The sequence below is a fragment of the Homo sapiens genome, chromosome 11, assembly GCF_000001405.40.
Source record: "Homo sapiens chromosome 11, GRCh38.p14 Primary Assembly".
NCBI lineage: Eukaryota > Metazoa > Chordata > Mammalia > Primates > Hominidae > Homo > Homo sapiens.
In genome coordinates, this window is record NC_000011.10 from 3,898,309 (window position 1) to 3,916,809 (window position 18,501).

An 18,501-nucleotide genomic window follows, 5' to 3' on the forward strand; every position below is an offset into this window, starting at 1 on the left:
CTTCTTTTGAGAAGTGTCTGTTCATGTCCTTTGCCCACTTTTTGATGGGGGTTGTTTGTTTTTTTCTTGTAAATTTGTTTGAGTTCATTGTAGATTCTGGATATTAGCCCTTTGTCAGATGAGTAGGTTGTGAAAATTTTCTCCCATTTTGTCAGTTGCCTGTTCACTCTGATGGTAGTTTCTTTTGCTGTGCAGAAGCTCTTTAGTTTAATTAGATCCCATTTGTCAATTTTGGCTTTTGTTGCCATTGCTTTTGGTGTTTTAGACATGAAGTCCTTGCCCATGCCTATGTCCTGAATGGTAATGCCTAGGTTTTCTTCTAGGGTTTTTATGATTTTAGGTCTAACGTTTAAGTCTTTAATCCATGTTGAATTAATTTTTGTATAAGGTGTAAGGAAGGGATCCAGTTTCAGCTTTCTACATATGGCTAGCCAGTTTTCCCAGCACCATTTATTAAATAGGGAATCCTTTCCCCATTGCTTGTTTTTCTCAGGTTTGTCAAAGATCAGATAGTTGTAGATATGCGGCGTTATTTCTGAGGGCTCTGTTCTGTTCCATTGATCTATATCTCTGTTTTGGTACCAGTACCATGCTGTTTTGGTTACTGTAGCTTTGTAGTATAGTTTGAAGTCAGGTAGCGTGATGCCTCCAGCTTTGTTCTTTTGGCTTAGGACTGACTTGGCGATGTGGGCTCTTTTTTGGTTCCACATGAACTTTAAAGTAGTTTTTTCCAATTCTGTGAAGAAAGTCATTGGTAGTTTGATGGGGATGGCATTGAATCTATAAATTACCTTGGGCAGCATGGCCATTTTCACGATATTGATTCTTCCTACCCATGAGCATGGAATGTTCTTCCATTTGTTTGTATCCTCTTTTATTTCACTGAGCAGTGGTTTGTAGTTCTCCTTGAAGAGGTCCTTCACATCCCTTGTAAGTTGGATTCCTAGGTATTTTACTCTCTTTGAAGCAATTGTGAATGGGAGTTCACTCATGATTTGGCTCTCTGTTTGTCTGTTATTGGTGTATAAGAATGCTTGTGATTTTTGTACATTGATTTTGTATCCTGAGAGTTTGCTGAAGTTGCTTATCAGCTTAAGGAGATTTTGGGCTGAGACAATGGGGTTTTCTAGATATACAATCATGTCATCTGCAAACAGGGACAATTTGACTTCCTCTTTTCCTAATCGAATACCCTTTATTTCCTTCTCCTGCCTAATTGCCCTGGCCAGAACTTCCAACACTATGTTGAATAGGAGTGGTGAGAGAGGGCATCCCTGTCTTGTGCCAGTTTTCAAAGGGAATGCTTCCAGTTTTTGTCCATTCAGTATGATATTGGCTGTGGGTTTGTCATAGATAGCTCTTATTATTTTGAGATACATCCCATCAATACCTAATTTATTGAGAGTTTTTAGCATGAAGCGTTGTTGAATTTTGTCAAAGGCCTTTTCTGCATCTATTGAGATAATCATGTGGTTTTTGTCTTTGGCTCTGTTTATATGCTGGATTACATTTATTGATTTGTGTATATTGAACCAGCCTTGCATCCCAGGGATGAAGCCCACTTGATCATGGTGGATAAGCTTTTTGATGTGCTACTGGATTCGGTTTGCCAGTATTTTATTGAGGATTTTTGCATCAATGTTCATCAAGGATATTGGTCTAAAATTCTCTTTTTTGGTTGTGTCTCTGCCCAGCTTTGGTATCAGGATGATGCTGGCCTCATAAATTGAGTTAGGGAGGATTCCCTCTTTTTCTATTGATTGGAATAGTTTCAGAAGGAATGGTACCAGTTCCTCCTTGTACCTCTGCCTAAGCAAGCCTGGGCAATGGCAGACGACCCTCCCCCAGCCTCACTGCTGCCTTGCAGTTTGATCTCAGACTGCTGTGCTAGCAATCAGCAAGACTCCCTGGGCGTATGACCCTCCGAGCCAGGTGCGGGATACAATCTCCTGGTGCGCTGTTTTTTAAGCCCGTGGGAAAAGCGCAGTATTGGGGTGGGAGTGACCCGATTTTCCAGGTGCCGTCTGTCGTCCCTTTCTTTGACTAGGAAAGGGAACTCCCTGACCCCTTGCACTTCCCGAGTGAGGCAATGCCTCGCCCTGCTTCGGCTCGTGCACGGTGCGCCGCACCCACTGTCCTGCACCCACTGTCTGGCACTCCCCAGTGAGATGAACCCGGTACCTCACATGGAAATGCAGAAATCACCATCTTCTGCAGCGCTCATGCTGGGAGCTGTAGGCCAGAGCTGTTCCTATTCGGCCATCTTGGCTCCCGACCTGTTTGTTTGTTTTTTGAGACAGAGTCTTTCCCTCTATTGCCCAGGCTAGAGTGCAGGTTTGCGATCACAGCTCACTGCAGCCTTCTGGGCACAAATGATCCTCCCACCTCAGCCTCCCAAGTATCTGGGACTACAGGCACACCCCGCCATGCCTGGCTAATATATTTTTTGTAGAGATGGGTTCTCACTCTGTTGCCTAAGCTGGTCTTGAACTCCTGGACTCAAGCAGTCTTCCCACCTTGGCTTCCCAAAGTGTTGGGATTACAGGCATGAGCCACTGTGGCTGGCCCAATGCATTGTTTTAAGATATAATGAGTGTAGTGGCTAGGCACGGTGGCTCACACCTGTAATCCCAGCACTTTGGGAGGCTGAGGCAGTCGGATCACTTGAGGTCAGGAGTTCAAGACTAGCCTGGCCAACATGGCGAAACCCTGTCTCTATTAAAAATACAAAAATTAGCCGGGCATGGTGGTGTGCGCTTGTAGTCCCATCTGCTCTGGAGGTTGAGGCAGGAGAATTGCTTGAACCCAGGAGGCGGAGGCTGCAGTCACACCACTGCACTCCAGCCTGGGCGACAGAGAGAGACTCAGCCTCAAAAAAATAAATAAAATAAGTGTTCTTCAGAATGTCAGTATCAGGTGAAATGGCATTATTATTATTACTCAGTAAAAGACCTTTGAGATTAAGTTAGGAAAAGCTAGGAGGCTTTAATATGATAAGGAAAGGTATACAGGGTTTTCTATGTTTTTCTGAACATGTAATCTTTTTTTATCCTCAAAAACCACCTATTGACATTTTGTTAGATACCAGTGTTCCACAGAACACCATTAGGTAAATGAACACAGTGTGGTCCCCTGCTTTTCTATTAGTATGACTTGGAGAAGTAGTATGGCCAGCTGTCCTTTAGTTGACAAGGTACCTCCATGGCTCCTTTTCAAAGAGAAAATGAGATACTTAATGACAGCTTATGTGTCAGAAAATCTCCTAAGTGTTTAACATAGATTACATCTTTGTGTTCACAATAGCTCTATGAGATTGCTGATATAGTTTTCTCCATGTTGTTGTTGTAGAAAGGTATAGATCTTGGTTAATCCACCAGTCCCTGGTTATGTCTCAGACTCAGTGGTAGGAGATTTAGCTAACTGAGCTTTTATTGTTTGCCTAAGCCTTCTTCATTTTTTTCTTTTGAGATAGCATCTCGCTCTGTTGCCCAGGCTGGAGTACACTCCAGCAGTGCAGCCACAGCTCACTGCACCCTTGACTTCCTGGGCTCAGGTGATCCTCCTGCCCCAGGCTCCAGTCTCCTGAGTAGCTGAAACTACAGGCACGTGCCACGATGCCCAGCTAATTTTTGTATTTTTTGTAGAGACGGGGTTTTGCCATATTGCCCAGGCTGGTCTCGAACTCGTGAGCTCAAGCAATCTTCCTGCCTTGGTCCCCCAAAGTGCTGGGATTACAGGCATGAGCCAATGTGGCTGGCCCCCAACATTTCTTAAACATTTATTGTTCTTGGGTAATGGAGATGTAGTGATGGAAAACCAGACACTGCCTCATGGAACTTAATCTAATAGAGATGATTAGATATGAGTGTGGAAGTATAAGTTACACATTGGGACTTTAGAGGTTAAGGGAAGGCAGATATTTTTATGAGTTACTGTAGCTTCCTGGGATGGTGTGACTTAACTAATCCCTAAAACTCTGTTTAAGTTTATATACTGCAGAAGCTTGGGAGGCATTTAGATTGGAAAATGACCTGAGTGAAAATAGGAGTGAGCAGAGAGCAGCGATCCCCAATCTTTTTGGCACCAGGGATCGGTTTCATGCAAGATAATTTTTCCACAGACCAGGGTGCGGGGTGGGGATGATTTTGGGATGAAACTGTTTCACTTCAGATCATCAGGCATTAGATTCTCATAAGGAGCACGCAACCTAGATTCCTCGCATGTGCAGTTCACAATAGGCTTTGCACTCCTGTGAGAACCTAATGCTGCCACTGATATGACAGGAGGCGGAGCTCAGGCAGTAATGCTCGCTTGCCTGCCGCTCACCTCCTGCTGTGTGGCCTGGTTCCTAACAAGGCACGGACTGGTACAGTCTGCAGCCTGAGGGTTGGGGACCCTTGGCATAGGGAATAGAATGCTCAGGAGAAGGTGGTATCCTGTACTGCTCTTAGGCATGACACCACCTGTGAGACTGCTGAAGGCGTTAATTTCTGGCCAGCTGAAGGTAGCATTGCCAGAAGGAGGAGCTGGGCAGATTGCAATTGGTGTTGTGGATAGAGGCAAAGGATCATAAATGATCGTCAGAAGGGAGCTGGTGGATTATGGAATGTGAAATGGGACAGGGCAACATTTCATATCTCAGGCTATGAATGACAGAGGGACTTGGAACCTGAACATGTTTATATATAATTTATTAAGTTCTTACCATGTGCCAGGTACTATTCTTTGCATTTTTAATGCTAAGCTTATTTAATTTTTATTAGTAGTTTATTCAGATTAGCTTATTTAATCTTTGTACCAACCCTATGAAAGTAGGTACTATTATTTTACTGTTTTAAAGATGGGAAAACTGAGGCCTAGAGAACTGAAATAATTTGCCCAAACTCACATGGCTAATAAGTGGTAGAGGTGGGATTCGGGCCCAGGTAATATGTTTTCAGTGTGCTTGTTCCTAATCACTCTGGTTTACAGTTTTAAGCAATGAGAAGTCATTATAGATTTCTGCCTAGTGAAGCAACTTGTTTGTAAGTATTGTGATGCAGGGCAATTTCCCAAGCCTTGATGGAAGGCAAGAAGACCAGCCACAGGGTGTTGTAGCAACCATCCCAGTTGCTTTGGAAGATGTATAAAGGTCTTGGAGTTATTTCACAAATTACTTCCTGAGATGGCTCTGTCAGTTGGCAGTCCTACCTGTCAGCTCAGCCCATTTTAGAAATCATTTTCCAAAGAATTTTAACCTTAAGGAAGCTCTCCTCTTTCTATTGAACAGGCTGTACCAGGCATAGGGGCCCCAGGAACCAGGTAGGAAATAGCTCTTGTGGGGTCAGTCCATCTGGAAGCATTTGCAAGAGGGGAAGTTGAAACTATTGAGACTTCCTGTTGTCATTAGAATTTGCTCTCCTGCTATAGGGGGAGTATCCCCTGTTAGGACTGATAGTCTGGTTGCTTATCTTGAGAGGCTGGGCAAGTGGGTTGGGGTGCAGAGATGTGAAAGACATAGTCTGTGTCCATGAACAACCTGCAGGTTACTGAGACACCCATAAACAAGTGCACTCTGTACAGTGTCACAAGTGCTACAATAGAGGTACATAGAAAATGTCCTGGGAAAGGCTGGGCTTGGTGGCTCACGCCTGTAATCCCAGCACTTTGGGAGGCTGAGGCGGGTAGATCACGAGGTCAGCAGTTCGAGACCAGCCTGACCAATATGGTGAAACCCCATCTCTACTAAAAATACAAAAATTAGCTGGGTGTGGTGGTATGTGCCTGTAATCTCAGCTAGACAGGAGGCTGAGGCAGGAGAATTGCTTGAACCCGGGAGGCAGAGGTTGCAGTGAGCCGAGATCGCTCCACTGTACTCCAGCCTGGGTGACAGAGTGAGACTCTGTCTCAAAAAAAAAAAAAAAAAAAAAAAGAAAATATACTGGGAGAGAAAGGAAGGAGGGTCTAAATACTTAGCAATATCAAAGATGCCACCCTGTAAGGATGACCAGGGTTGTGCCAGACAGAGTGCCCTGGAGCATATTCTGGGCAGTGTGACTGTGGAAGTGCATGGCATATTCAGTGAATGACGAGTTGTTCCCTGAACTGGAGTGTTGGACTACTTGGAGGGAGTGGCACGAGATGAAGCTGGGTGTGTGTGAAGGGCCAGATCCCGAATGACCTTGTATTTTATGGTAAAGAGCTTAAATCCTATTGGAGTTAAGCTTTACCGTCGATATTTAAGATGGGTGTGACATGACCAGAGTGTTTTTTTTAGGAAGACCTCTTATATGCCTGTGCTTAGAATGTATAGATTATAACTAGAGGCAGGGAAGGCAGCCAGAAGATTTGCAGTAGCAGATGATGAGGCTGGAACAAGGGTAGTGGTCATGGGGGTTGATTTAAATTGTGTGACGGAAGGATGAAGGAGGCAGTGTTAGGTGACTGGGCATTACTGTGATGCTGTTAACACATGGAATACAAGAGAGAGAGCCGGGGAAGTTAATGCTGCTCTTGAGATGGTTATGGGTGATATCCATGAGAAAATATCTGGTAGTTGGGGGAGAAGACATGAGTTTTGGAGTTCCTGAGAGAGGTAGGAATAGACATGAGAGAATCATGAACTCTAAGAAATAGTAGAGACTGTAGAAGTAGATGAGATCACCTGAGTAAAATTTATAAAATGGGGAAAGAAAGGGGGTTAAGGATAGAGCAGAGAGGAACTCTGATATGTGTGGACAGAAAAGTTAGGGAGGGAGCCTGAGGAGGGGCAATCAGAGAGGCAAGAGAAAGTACTGTCTGGGAAGCCAGGAATGAGAAAAGTTTCTAAAAGAAAGCAATAGTGTCTGTTGCAGCAGAGAACAGGTAGGGTGAGCCTGAAATGAGGCTACTGAGTCATTGGTGACCATGGTGACAGCAGTTTCAGTGGAGGGGTGGGGACAGAAGCTAGACTGCTGTGGCTTAGGGAGTCAGTATGAGGCAAAGATGTAGAACAAAAGACTTTTTTGAGAAATATAGTTGCGAGGGAAGGAAGGAAAGAGGGTGGTATTTTGAAGAGGCAGCAGAGGAGGCAGGTTCAAAGATTTTTTTTTTTTTTTAAAGGTGGAGGGGTGGAGTGGAGACCTGAGCTGGTATAGGTTGTGGGGAGAAGAGATTGAGAAATGTAGCCAGTGAAGGTGCCACATCTCCCTGAATACTTCATACTATTGTGGGAGTCTTAAACTGTGCTGCTCTGCTGAAGCCTGCGGTCACTAGAGCATGGGGCAGACAAGGGAGACCTTGTCATTCATAAGTAATCATTGCACCATTTATTGAGTAACCGCTGCATGCCAGGCATTTTTCTAGATACATTAGACACATCTCTGATGCTCACCACAGTTCCCAGAAGTGAGTATTGTCCCTATTTTCCAAATGCAGAAACAGATGAGTTAAGAAACATTCAGCTAGTTAGTGGTGGAGCCAGTTTCAGCCAGGTTTCTGGAACTGCATGATGTATTCTTTCTGCTTCCCAGTGCTATTTTTTTTCCATTAAATGGAGCTTAATGTTGAAACTCTAAAGAGGGCCCTTGCAGGGGGCAGGGTGGGTGGCCTAGAGGGACAAAGGTAGAGTTCTGGGGCTAGTGCTAGCCTGGAGGGAACATGACTTAATATCTGGGATGAGGGAGGAGGGTCTTGGTCTGGCCTTGCTCTACCTTTTCTTTACTTACCAGTGGCTCTGGTGGTTTCAGGCTTTTACTCTATTTTTCTGCATCTTTCTGTAACTTCTTACCAGGGCCCCTGAGGCCCTAGCTGCTGTGTGCTATGGACTGTTACAGAGGAAAAAAAGAATCAGCTTCCAGGCCCAGAGGGGCTTATCCTTTTTGACAAACTACTCGTGAGGAATTGCTGAGCTGTAGGATGCACTCTCTTTGGCACAGTGGTAGGCTTCTTCCTAAGTATTTTTATTTGAGTTGAATAATTTTGATTCAGTGGAAAGAGCAAAACACTGAGAATTAGAAGACATGATTTCCAGTCTAAGAGATGAACTAGGTTACCTCAGGCGAGTCATTCTCCCTTTGCATATTTACTTGATGTAAGGTAGGGACTGTGTTTTACTCATCCTTGTATCCTGAGCAGCTAGCATATGCCCTGACTGAATAGGTGTCCTGAATAAGTTTATTATGGAGCTAGTTAATCTGCTCTTCTATTAAATGAGAAAATTGGACCTTTTGATTTCCAAAGATTTGCCAATTCTAAAGCGTATTGTTCTGTGAGGGCTTATGATGTTTTAATTATAAAATAATATATACTGTCACTTAGCACCTACTATTTGCTAGGCATTGTGTGAGGTTCTTTACATATTTATTTTATTTAGGTGATTTAAAAAAATTTAAATTTTGTCTAGGTGCTTTAGAAATACTATGGTCCCTTAGGCTATAAGCTCCATGAGGATAGTACCAGTGCCTGTTCACTGCTGTAACCCTAATGCTGAGCACAGTGCTAGGCATGTAATGGATGCTCAGTAAGTTTTTGTTGAATAAAGCAATAAGTAGATGTCTTACCATCGATAAGATAACAATCTTTTAAGATAGGTACTATTAGTACCATCGTATAGATAAGAAAATTGAGGGTAAAAGGTCACAGAACTAGTAAATGGCTGAGAGAGAGAAGATTCAAACCTAAATCCAACTCTAAAATTGGTACCTTTACTACTTAACACCAGCGTGCCTTCACTTATCTGATGTTTTAATTGCAAATTTGAAAAGAAGGACAACAGTAAAGAAGGATACAAGATCAGAAAATCAAATTTTTCTTGAGGGGTGGGGACAGGGTTAGAGGTTGGGCACTGAAGTTTAGAAGTTGGCAATTATCTCCAATACCTTAAGAATAAAAAGGGGTTTATAAGCTTGGGAAGCTGGGGGAAAAAACGAACAAAACGGGGTTATAATGGCAGTTACTATTCACTGGGAGCTTTGTTTATTGAATATCTCATGGCATTAAAAGTCCACTTACATAATTTTAACTATCATCTATTTATTGACAACTCAAATTTGTGTTTCCAGCTTAGATTTCTCCCTGAATTTTAGACTTGCATATCTAACCTCTTAATTAACATTTTAGATATCTAATAGGCATTTTAAATTTAACAAGTTTCACTTACATGGAATCTGTCAGCATATCCTGTCGGTTCTACCTTTAAAACAAATCCAACATTCAGATACTTTTCATTACCTCTGCACCTACCACCCTGATCCACGTTACCATCGTCTCTTGCCTGGTGAGATAATAGCCTAACTGATTGCCCTGCTTTTGCCCTTGCCTGTCTACAGTTTATTCTAAACAGGAAGCCGGAGTGATCCTTTCAAAACGTAAATCCAAATTATATAACTCTTCTGTTCAAAATTGTTCAGTGGCTTTACATATCTCTCAGGGAAAAAGCCAAAGCCCTTAGAGTGGCCCACAAGATCACATATGACTTGGCTCCCAGTTACTGTCTTAGCCTCATTTCCTCTCCACCTGCTCACCCTGCCCCACTGGCTTTCTTACCATTCTTTGAACAATAGAGACAGACATACTCTTGCCTCAGGGCCTTTGCATTGGTTCTTCCTTCTTACTCTAACTTTCTGCATGGCTCATGCCTTATTTCCTTCAGATCTTTTGGTCAAATTTCAACTCAGTGAGGCCTTATCCAATCATTCTATTTAAAAATAGCAATCCCTCCCCCACCACACACTGCAACCCCTTTCTCTATTTTTCATTACAGCATTTATCACCATCTGGCATATTTATTGGTCAGGCCTTTCACCTTGCACCCCCACTCCCTGTTAGTTCCATAAGAGCAGGGGTTTTTGTTAATGGCTAAATCCTCAGTGCTAGAATACTGACTGGTGCATATAGCATATACTTAGTAAATATTTGTTGACTGAATGAACAAATGATTGAATAACCTTTTTGGGCCTGGTATATTTCTTGATGCTTTATATATATTTGTTTACTTTTCTGCACAACAGTCTTGCAGGATACTACTATTATTCCCATTTTATGAATGGGGAAAGTTATTTGCTGGCCAGGCACGGCGGCTCACGCCTGTAATCCCAGCACTTTGGGAGGCCAAGGCAGGTGAATCACGAGGTCAGGAGATTGAGACCATCCTGGCTAACCCGGTGAAACCCTGTCTCTACTAAAAACACAAAAAATTAGCTGGGCGTGGTGGCGGGCGCCTGTAGTCCCAGCTACCTGGGAGGCTGAGACAGGAGAATGGCATGAACCTGGGAGGTGGAGCTTGCAGTAAGCTGAGATCGAGCCACTGCACTCCAGGCTGGGTGACAGAGCGAGACTCCATCTCAAAAAAAAAAAAAGTTATTTGCCAAGATTGCATGGCTAGAAAGTTTAAAGCCTAGGTTTATTCTGCTTAATACATTGTCAAGCTCAAATAAAATGTTATAGAAAGATGGCTTATGGCTTATAAATATTGTTGCTTTGCTGCTGAATGGAGTTTATAAACCACAAGCCTAGAAACCAGAAGAAAGCCGAAGTCTGAATTTCCTGAACTGGACATTGCTCATTCACTCACTTGGGAGCAAGCTGATATTTGTGACTGTGACATACCTGGAAGCCTAAAATACACCTGGAAAAAGGCCTTTGTGTGAGTTCTTCCTGTGCACCATTTGACCCATATTTGGCTTGCATACACAGAAAGTGAGGGGGGTTTTATGATGATTTGGAAGTTTTTCTCCCCTACCACCCCAGAGAAAGACCTTCTTTCCCTAGTTGGGGATAGTACTAGTGTTACTTTGGGCCAGTTGCTTCATGTCACTTTTCTTTCCTGAGTTGAGTGCCAGCCAAGGCCAGAGTGCAAATCATTCCCAAGGTATACTGGGGTATGACTTTCTCTTTGGTATGGTGACTGGGGAGGCCAAGGCCAGAGCTGATCTCAAAGTAAGATGAAACTGGGGTCAGTGATGTCTCCAGGGTAAAATGAGGGTGGGTTCAAGTGCCGTCCTAATAGAGCTTTGTCATTTCAAGGATTCTGTCAGAAAGAAGGTGAGAGAGAATAAGGTCTGGATCCAACTCCCCAGCTGATTGGGGGTATGGGTATAACATATCTCCCTCCTAAGTCCCAGGTACCAGTAACTTTGGGGTGAGGGTCCTGGTGAAGTCCTGGGCTTATGAGAGACCCAGGCAGAGGAAGCAGAAGCAGATATATTCAGTAAGGCTATTCTCAGTAATATGACAGAAGTAGAATAGTAGGAGGTGGAAAAAAAGTCATCTTATGGGGCTGGGCGCAGTGGCTCACGCCTGTAATCCCAGCACTTTGAGAGGCTGAGGCGGGCGGATCACGAGGTCAGGAGATTGAGACCATCCTGGCTAACACGGTGAAACTCCGTCTCTACTAAAAATACAAAAAATTAGCCTGGTGCGGTGGTGGGCGCCTGTGATCCCAGCTACTTGGGAGGCTGAGGCAGGAGAATGGCATGATCCTGGCACTGCACTCCAGCCTGGGTGACAGAGCGAGACTCCATCTCAAAGAAAAAAAAAAAAGAAAAAAAAAGTCATCTTGTGGTATTATATGGTCAATAACATATGTAAAGAAGAGTGAATAATGAGGTATGGATTAGAATGGCACCCAGAGGGAAATGAGACTGGAATCAGAGCCGTTCCGAGGAAATAATGAAAATATGAGAACTTTCCCTAGGGTGAGATAAGTCTGTGGGAAATGTGTATGAGGTGACAAAATCATTCCCAGGGTGAAAGAAAAAAATATGTTTGAGCAGCCATGAGTAGGAAGGGAAGCATAATGAGAGGGAAGAATTTTAGGGCAAGATGTTTAGGAGATAAGGCTAGGGAAACAAGCAGATGCCAGATTATAGAGAGCCTTGTCTATCTGTTAAGGATTTGCGACTATATTCTTTGGGCAATGCAGAACCACTGAAAAATTTAAAATAAGGGATAGACATGGTCAAATTTCCTCCTGGTCATAATGACCTGTGTTCCTAGGGGAGCTGAGGTCAGGAAAGGTTAGAAAAGAGTATGGCAGTTTAGGGACTCTAGGCAGATGTTTATTGAAAGCCAAAAGTATCTGGCGTATCCATCTGAGCAGAGATGCCAGAGGACTGGATGAAACCTGACCTGAGTGAAGTAAGCAGAGGCTTTCCTGGACCTCATCAAAAACTAAGGTCCAGCTGGGCATGGTGGCACCTGCTTGCAGTCCCAGCTACTCAGGAGCTGAGGTGGGAAGATTGCTTGAGTTTAGGAGTTCAAGACCAGCCTAGGCAACATACGACACCCTGTCTCTTAAAACAAAAAAATTTAGAACTAAAAACCTCTGTGGATGCACAACACTATAAATGTACTAAATACCACTGAATTGTTCACTTAAAAATGGTGAATGTTATATGAATTTCACCTCAATAAAAGATTAAAACTAAAAACAGGCCGGGCGAGGTGGCTCATGCCTGTAATGCCAGTACTTTGGGAGGCCGAAGTGGGCGGATTACAAGATCAGGAGTTCGAGACCAGCCTGACCAACATGGTGAAACCCCTGTCTCTACTAAAAAAAAAAAAAAAAAAATATCCGGGCGTGGTGGTGCCTGCCTATAATCCCAGCTACTCAGGAGGCTGAGGCAGGAGAATCGCTTGAATCCAGGAGGCGAAGGTTGCAATGAGCTGAGATCGCACCACCGCACTCCAGCCTGGGCAACAGAGCGAGACAAACAGACAAACAAACAAACAAGAAAACTGAAAACAAACTAACAAATCTACAAGTCTCATCCTGCTGGAGTCTGTGGGATTTGGCCTGGATTTGCCTTCCTTCTGTAAGGGCTTGGTTTATCAGTGGTAGCATTGGGGAGATAAGGATAGGACTAGGCATAGCAGCAAGGATGAGACTCCAAAGCATGTGTCCTTGTCCATCCTTCCAGTTGGCTGCCAGAATCTTCTAACAAGTCAATCTAACTGTGGCCCACCTCTGCTCAGAAGTCTATTGCTTTCCTATTTCTCAGAGATTCTAAAATCCAAGCTTCTCAATCTGGTGTTCCTGGCATTCTATGATCTGGGTTCTGCATATTGTCTTTTCAGCAAACATTTTTCTATGCTATTATTCATGTTTTCCATTTTGCTTGGAATGTCTCCTTACCATCTTTTTAAAATTGTTTTTGTTTTTTTGAGACAGGGTCTCACTCTGTTGCCCAGGCTGCAGAGCTCAACCTCCTGAGCTCAAGTGATCCTCCCACCTAACCCTCTTGAGTAGCTCGGACTACAGGCATATACCACCATGCCCGGCTAACTTTAAAATTTTTTTTGTAGAGACGGGGTCTCCTTCTGTTGCTCAAGCTGCTCTCAAACTCCTGGGTTCAAGTGATCCTCCTGTCTTGGCCTCCCACAGTGTTGGGTGTGAGCCACCACCCCTGGCTTGCTTACTCTTTTCTATCTAGTAAACTCCTCATCTTTTAGTACATAGCTCCAGTGTCACCACTTTTTAAGCTTTCTCTGTCCTCCTTGCCTGTAGGCAGGCAGTCTATTCTACTGTTACTCTCCTATCATACTTTATATGTCTCAGTTATCTTGCTGCATTGTGGTTGCTTTGTATGTGATTGCCACACAAGATTGGAAGTTTTTTAAAGACAGAAACACTGCTTTGCTGTTGTTGTTGTTGTTGTTTTCTATACCACTTGGCCTAGTATTGCACAGAGATAGCACTTACTGATTTTTTAGAGCAACTTTTATTTCCACCATAAATACTGGTCACAGAAGTTAAATAAGTAGGCTTTGTTGGTATTGTTCAGTCTAGTGAGGCTAATAGGGGGCATCTATCCATAACTGTCCTTCCATTCCCTTCTCCTTTCCCTTCTCCCTAACCTTCTCCCCTCCCATCCCCTCTCCTCCCCTCCCTTCTCCCCTCCCCTCTCCTCCTTTCTCCCCTCCCCTCCCTTCTCCCCTACCTTCTCCCCTCCCTTCTCCCCTCCCCTCCCTTATCCCCTCCCTTCTCTCCTTCCCTCCCCTCCCCTCTCTTCCCCTCTCTTCTCTCTTTCTTTTTTTCCAAGCTAGCCATCAGGTTTCACTGAACAATAACTGCAAACTTCAGTATAGCTGGGTTTGGGAATAAATTTTTTTTTTTGAGACGGAGTTTCACTTTGGTGCCCAGGCTGTAGTGCAATGGTGCGATCTCAGCTCACTGCAACCTCCGCCTCCCAGATTCAAGTGATTCTCCTACCTCAGCCTCCCAAGTAGCTGGGATTACAGGTACCCACCATGATGTCCAACTAATTTTTTGTATTTTTAGTAGAGATGGGGTTTCGCCATGTTGGCCAGGCTGTTCTTGAACTCCTGACCTCAAGTGATCCACCCGCCTTGGCCTCCCAAAGTGTTGGGATTACAGGTGTGAGCCACCGTGTGCAGCCAAATCATTTGTTTAATAAGACAAAATATAAAAAAAACTGAGGTAATATGAAAGAGATTCTTAGATGCCTTTGCCAATGTGGGCTCTCTCATTCTTTATTTAATGATAGAACACCTGAGTTTTAGCAGGATGCATAGCTGCTCAGCTTCCTTTGCAACTAAGTGTGGCCACATGTGTCAGTTCTATCTGGGGGGTGAGGATCCAAGTGGAAATCTTATGTGTACCACTTCTATATCATGTACTTAAAAACAGTATGTGGTGCTTCTCTTTCCCTTTTTCCCTTCCTGCTAGCTGGAATATGGTGAGATCTACAGCACCTTTTTTGGTCCCAGAGATGGAAGCCTCATTTTGAGTGAGAATGGCAAAGTCCCACTCTCATTTGAGACTGCTCACTGCTTAACTATTATGAGAGAGAAATAAACTTTTTGTTTAATCCACTGTATTTGAGGGTCTCTTAGTTACAGCAGCTTTATCTGTATCCTGACCAGTACAGTGAGGCATCAAATTGCTGCAGTATCAAGTTGCTTTTTTTTTTCTTTTCTTAGGACAGGGTCTTGCTGTCGCCCAGGCTGCAATGCAGTGGTGTCATCACCACTCACTGCAGCCTTGATCCCTGGGACTCAAGTGATCCTCCTACCTCAGCCTCCTGAGTAGCTGGGACCACAGATGGGCACTACCATGCCTGGCTATTTTTTTTTTTCTTTCTAGAAATGAGGTCTCACGATGTTACCCAGGCCAGTCTTGAACACTTGGGCTCAAGTGATCCTCCCGCTTCAGCCTTCCAAAGTGCTGGAGTTACAGGGATCAACCACTGTGCCCAGTTTAAGTTGCTTCTTGCTGCTGTTCATGGGTATCTCTTAGTCACACTATGCACCGGGTTCCTGACTGTTTCTTGCCATGCCTTGCTTCTAAGCCTTAATTCCTGATGCCTGGATGATTCCCTGAACTCTCTCATATACTTAAAGACATTTTATTGAGGTGAAATTCATAGAACATTAACCATTTCGAATTAAACAATTCAGTAGCATTTAGTACATTCACAATGTTGTACAGCCACCACTTCTATCTAGCACCAAAACATTTCTGTCATTCCAAAGGAAAACCCCTTACCTATTAAGCAGTTTCTCCCTATTTTCCGCTCCCGCTGGCAGCCACCAATAGGATTTACCTATTTTGGATATTTCATATCAATGAAATCATATAATATGTGACCTTTTGTATCTGGCTTCTTAGAATAATATTTTGGAGCTTAATCTACGTTGTAACGTGTCGGTACTTTCTTTTTTTATTATTTTTTTTGGTGGTAAAATATATATAACCAAATTTTGTCATTTTATTCATTGATAAGTATACAATTTAATTACAGTAATTACACTCACAGTATTGTGCAACTTTCACCACTATTTTAAAACATTTTTCATCATCCCAAACAGAAACTTTGTACTTATTAAGCAATAACTCCCCATTCCTCCCTCCTGCTAGCCTTTGTTAACTTCCAGTCTACTTTTTGTCTTCGTGAATTTGCCTATTCTAGATATTTAATTAAGTGGAATCATATAATGTTTGTCTTTTTACGTCTTGCTTATTTCACTTAGCATAATGTTTTCAAGGTCCATCTATGTTGCAACATGCATCAGAAAACTTCATTTTTTTTTTTTACTGGCTGAATTATGTGTATATATACATACCACAATTTGTTTATTCATCTGTTGATGAATATTTAGACTGCTATGCTATGGACATGCTAGTTACATGTACTTGTTCCAGTACCTGTTTTCAATTTTTTTATATTTTTTGAGACGGAGTCTCACTCTGTCGCCAGGCTGGAGTACAGTGGCGCAGTCTCAGCTCACTGCAATCTCTGCCTCTTGGGTTCAAACAATTCTCCTGTCTCAGCCTCCCGAGTAGCTGGAATTACAGGTGTGCACCGCCACGCCCGGCTGATTTTTGTATTTTTAGTGGAGATGGGGTTTCACCATATTGGCCAGGATGGTCTCAATCTCCTGACCTCGTGATCCGCCCGCCTCGGCCTCCCAAAGTGCTGGGACTACAGGCGTGAGCTACCGCCCCTGGCCTGTTTTCAATTTTTGGGAGTGTATCATAGGAGTGGAATTGTAGAATTGTATGGTAGCTTTATGTTTAAGTTTTTGAGGAACCACCAAACTGTTTTCCATAGCAGCTATACCATTTTACATTCCCATCAGCAGTGTATAAGGGGTTCCAATTTTTCCACATCTTTGCCAGTACTTCTTTTTTTTTTCCTTTTTGGTTTTGTTTTTAATTACAACCATCCTAGTGGGTGTGACATGTTATCTCGTTGTGGTTTGATTTGTGTTTCCCTAGTGACTAATGATGTTGATCATCTTCTCATGTGCTTATTGGCCATTTGTATGTCTTCTTTGGAGAATGTGTATTTAAGTCCTTTGTCCATTTAAAATTAGGTTGTTTTTTGTTGTTGAGTTATGAAAATTCCTTATATATTCTGAATACTAGACCCTTAATGAGATGTATGATTTGCAAATATTTTCTCCCATTCTATAGGTTGATTTTTCACTTTCTTGATAATGTCTTTTGATACACTGTAGCTTTAAATTTATTTTTATTTTTTAGAGACGAGATTTTGCTATGTTGCCCAGGTGCATCTCGAATTCCCGGGCTCAAGCAATACACCTGCCTCAGCCTTGCAGAGTGTTGGGATTAATAGGCCTGAGCCACTGTATCCAGTCTAGTTTTTAATTTTTTTTTTTTTTTGAGACGGAGCCTTGCTCTGTCGCCCAGGCTGGAGTGCAGTGGTGCCATCTCGGCTCACTGCAAGCTCCGCCTCCCGGGTTCACGCCATTCTCCTGCCTCAGACTCCCGAGTAGCTGGGACTACAGGCGCCCACCAACACGCCTGGCTAATTTTTTGTATTTTTAGTAGAGACGGGGTTTCACGGTGTTAGCCAGGATGGTCTCGATCTCCTGACCTTGTGATCCACATGCCTCAGCCTCCCAAAGTGCTGGGATTATAGGCATGAGCCACCGTGCCCGGCCTAGTTTTTAATTTTTATAGGTTTTAATTTATCTTTTGTTGTTGTTGTTTGTGCTTTTGTGTTGTATCTAAAAAAGTTTGACCAGCATGGTGGCTCACATGTGTAATCCCAGAACTTTGGGAGGCTGAGGTGGGCAGATCACTTCAGGTCAGGAGTTTGGGACCAGCCTGGCCAACATGGCAAAACTCTGTCTCTACTAAAAATACAAAAAGAATTAGCCAGGTTTCGTGCTGCATGCCTGTAATCCCAGCTACTTGGGAGCTGAGGCAGGAGAGTCACTTTAACCCAGGAAGCAGAGGTTGCAGTGAGCTGAGATTGTGCCACTGCACTCCAGCCTGGGCCCACAGGGTGATACATCTCAAAATAAATAAGTAAATAAATAAGATTAAAAAATAAAAAATCTGTTTTCAAAGCCAAGGTTATGAAGATTTACTCCTCAGTTTTATGGGTTTGCTCCTATGTTTTACCTCAAAGAGTTTTATGGTTTAGCACTTATATTTAGGTCATTGATCCACTTTGAGTTAACTTTTGGGTGTAGTGTGAATTTCTTGAACTTTAAACCCTTGAATGTGTGCCAATCCAGTCAGTAATGTTTTTTTTTTTTTAATTGAGACAGAGTCTCGCTTTGTTGCCCAGGCTGGAGTGCAGTGGCGTGATCTTGGCTCACTGCCAACCTCTGCCACCTGGGTTCAAGCGATTCTCCTGTCTCAGCCTCCTGAGTAGCTAGGACTACAAGCATGTGCCACCACACCCAATTTTTTTTTTTTTTTTTTTGACGAAGTCTCACTCTTGTCCCCCAGGGTGGAGTGTAAATGGGGTGATCTCGGCTCACTGCAACCTCTGCCTCCTGGGTTCAAGTGATTCTCCTGCCTCAGCCTCCCGAGTAGCTGGGATTACAGGTGCCTGCCACCACACCCAGCTAATTTTTGTATTTTTAGTAGAGATGGGGTTTCACTGTGTTGACCAGGCTGGTCTGGAACTCTTGACCTCAGGTGATCTGCCTGCCTCAGCCTCCCAAAGTGCTGGGATTACAGGTGTGAGCCACTGCGCCCGGCCATTTTTTTGTATTTTTAGTAGAGACGGGGTTTCGCCATGTTGGCCAGGCTGTTCTCGA

The 18,501-nt window shown here is 43.4% G+C and overlaps 1 protein-coding gene across 22 annotated transcripts in view, besides 2 other annotated features; it reads left to right on the forward strand.

Moving 5' to 3' along the window:
- The window catches only part of STIM1 (stromal interaction molecule 1), a 238,607-nt gene that overhangs the window by 43,705 nt on the left and 176,401 nt on the right, over positions 1-18,501 (forward strand). The window lies entirely within an intron of this gene.
- Positions 5,271-5,565: an enhancer, noted in NCBI's record as "tiled region #4967; K562 Activating DNase matched - State 8:EnhW". NCBI's record gives its function as "activates a minimal TATA promoter and a strong SV40 promoter by Sharpr-MPRA in K562 cells {active_cell/tissue: K562}" and the evidence as "EXISTENCE:reporter gene assay evidence [ECO:0000049][PMID:27701403]".
- Positions 5,271-5,565: a silencer, noted in NCBI's record as "tiled region #4967; HepG2 Repressive non-DNase unmatched - State 6:EnhF". NCBI's record gives its function as "represses a minimal TATA promoter and a strong SV40 promoter by Sharpr-MPRA in HepG2 cells {active_cell/tissue: HepG2}" and the evidence as "EXISTENCE:reporter gene assay evidence [ECO:0000049][PMID:27701403]".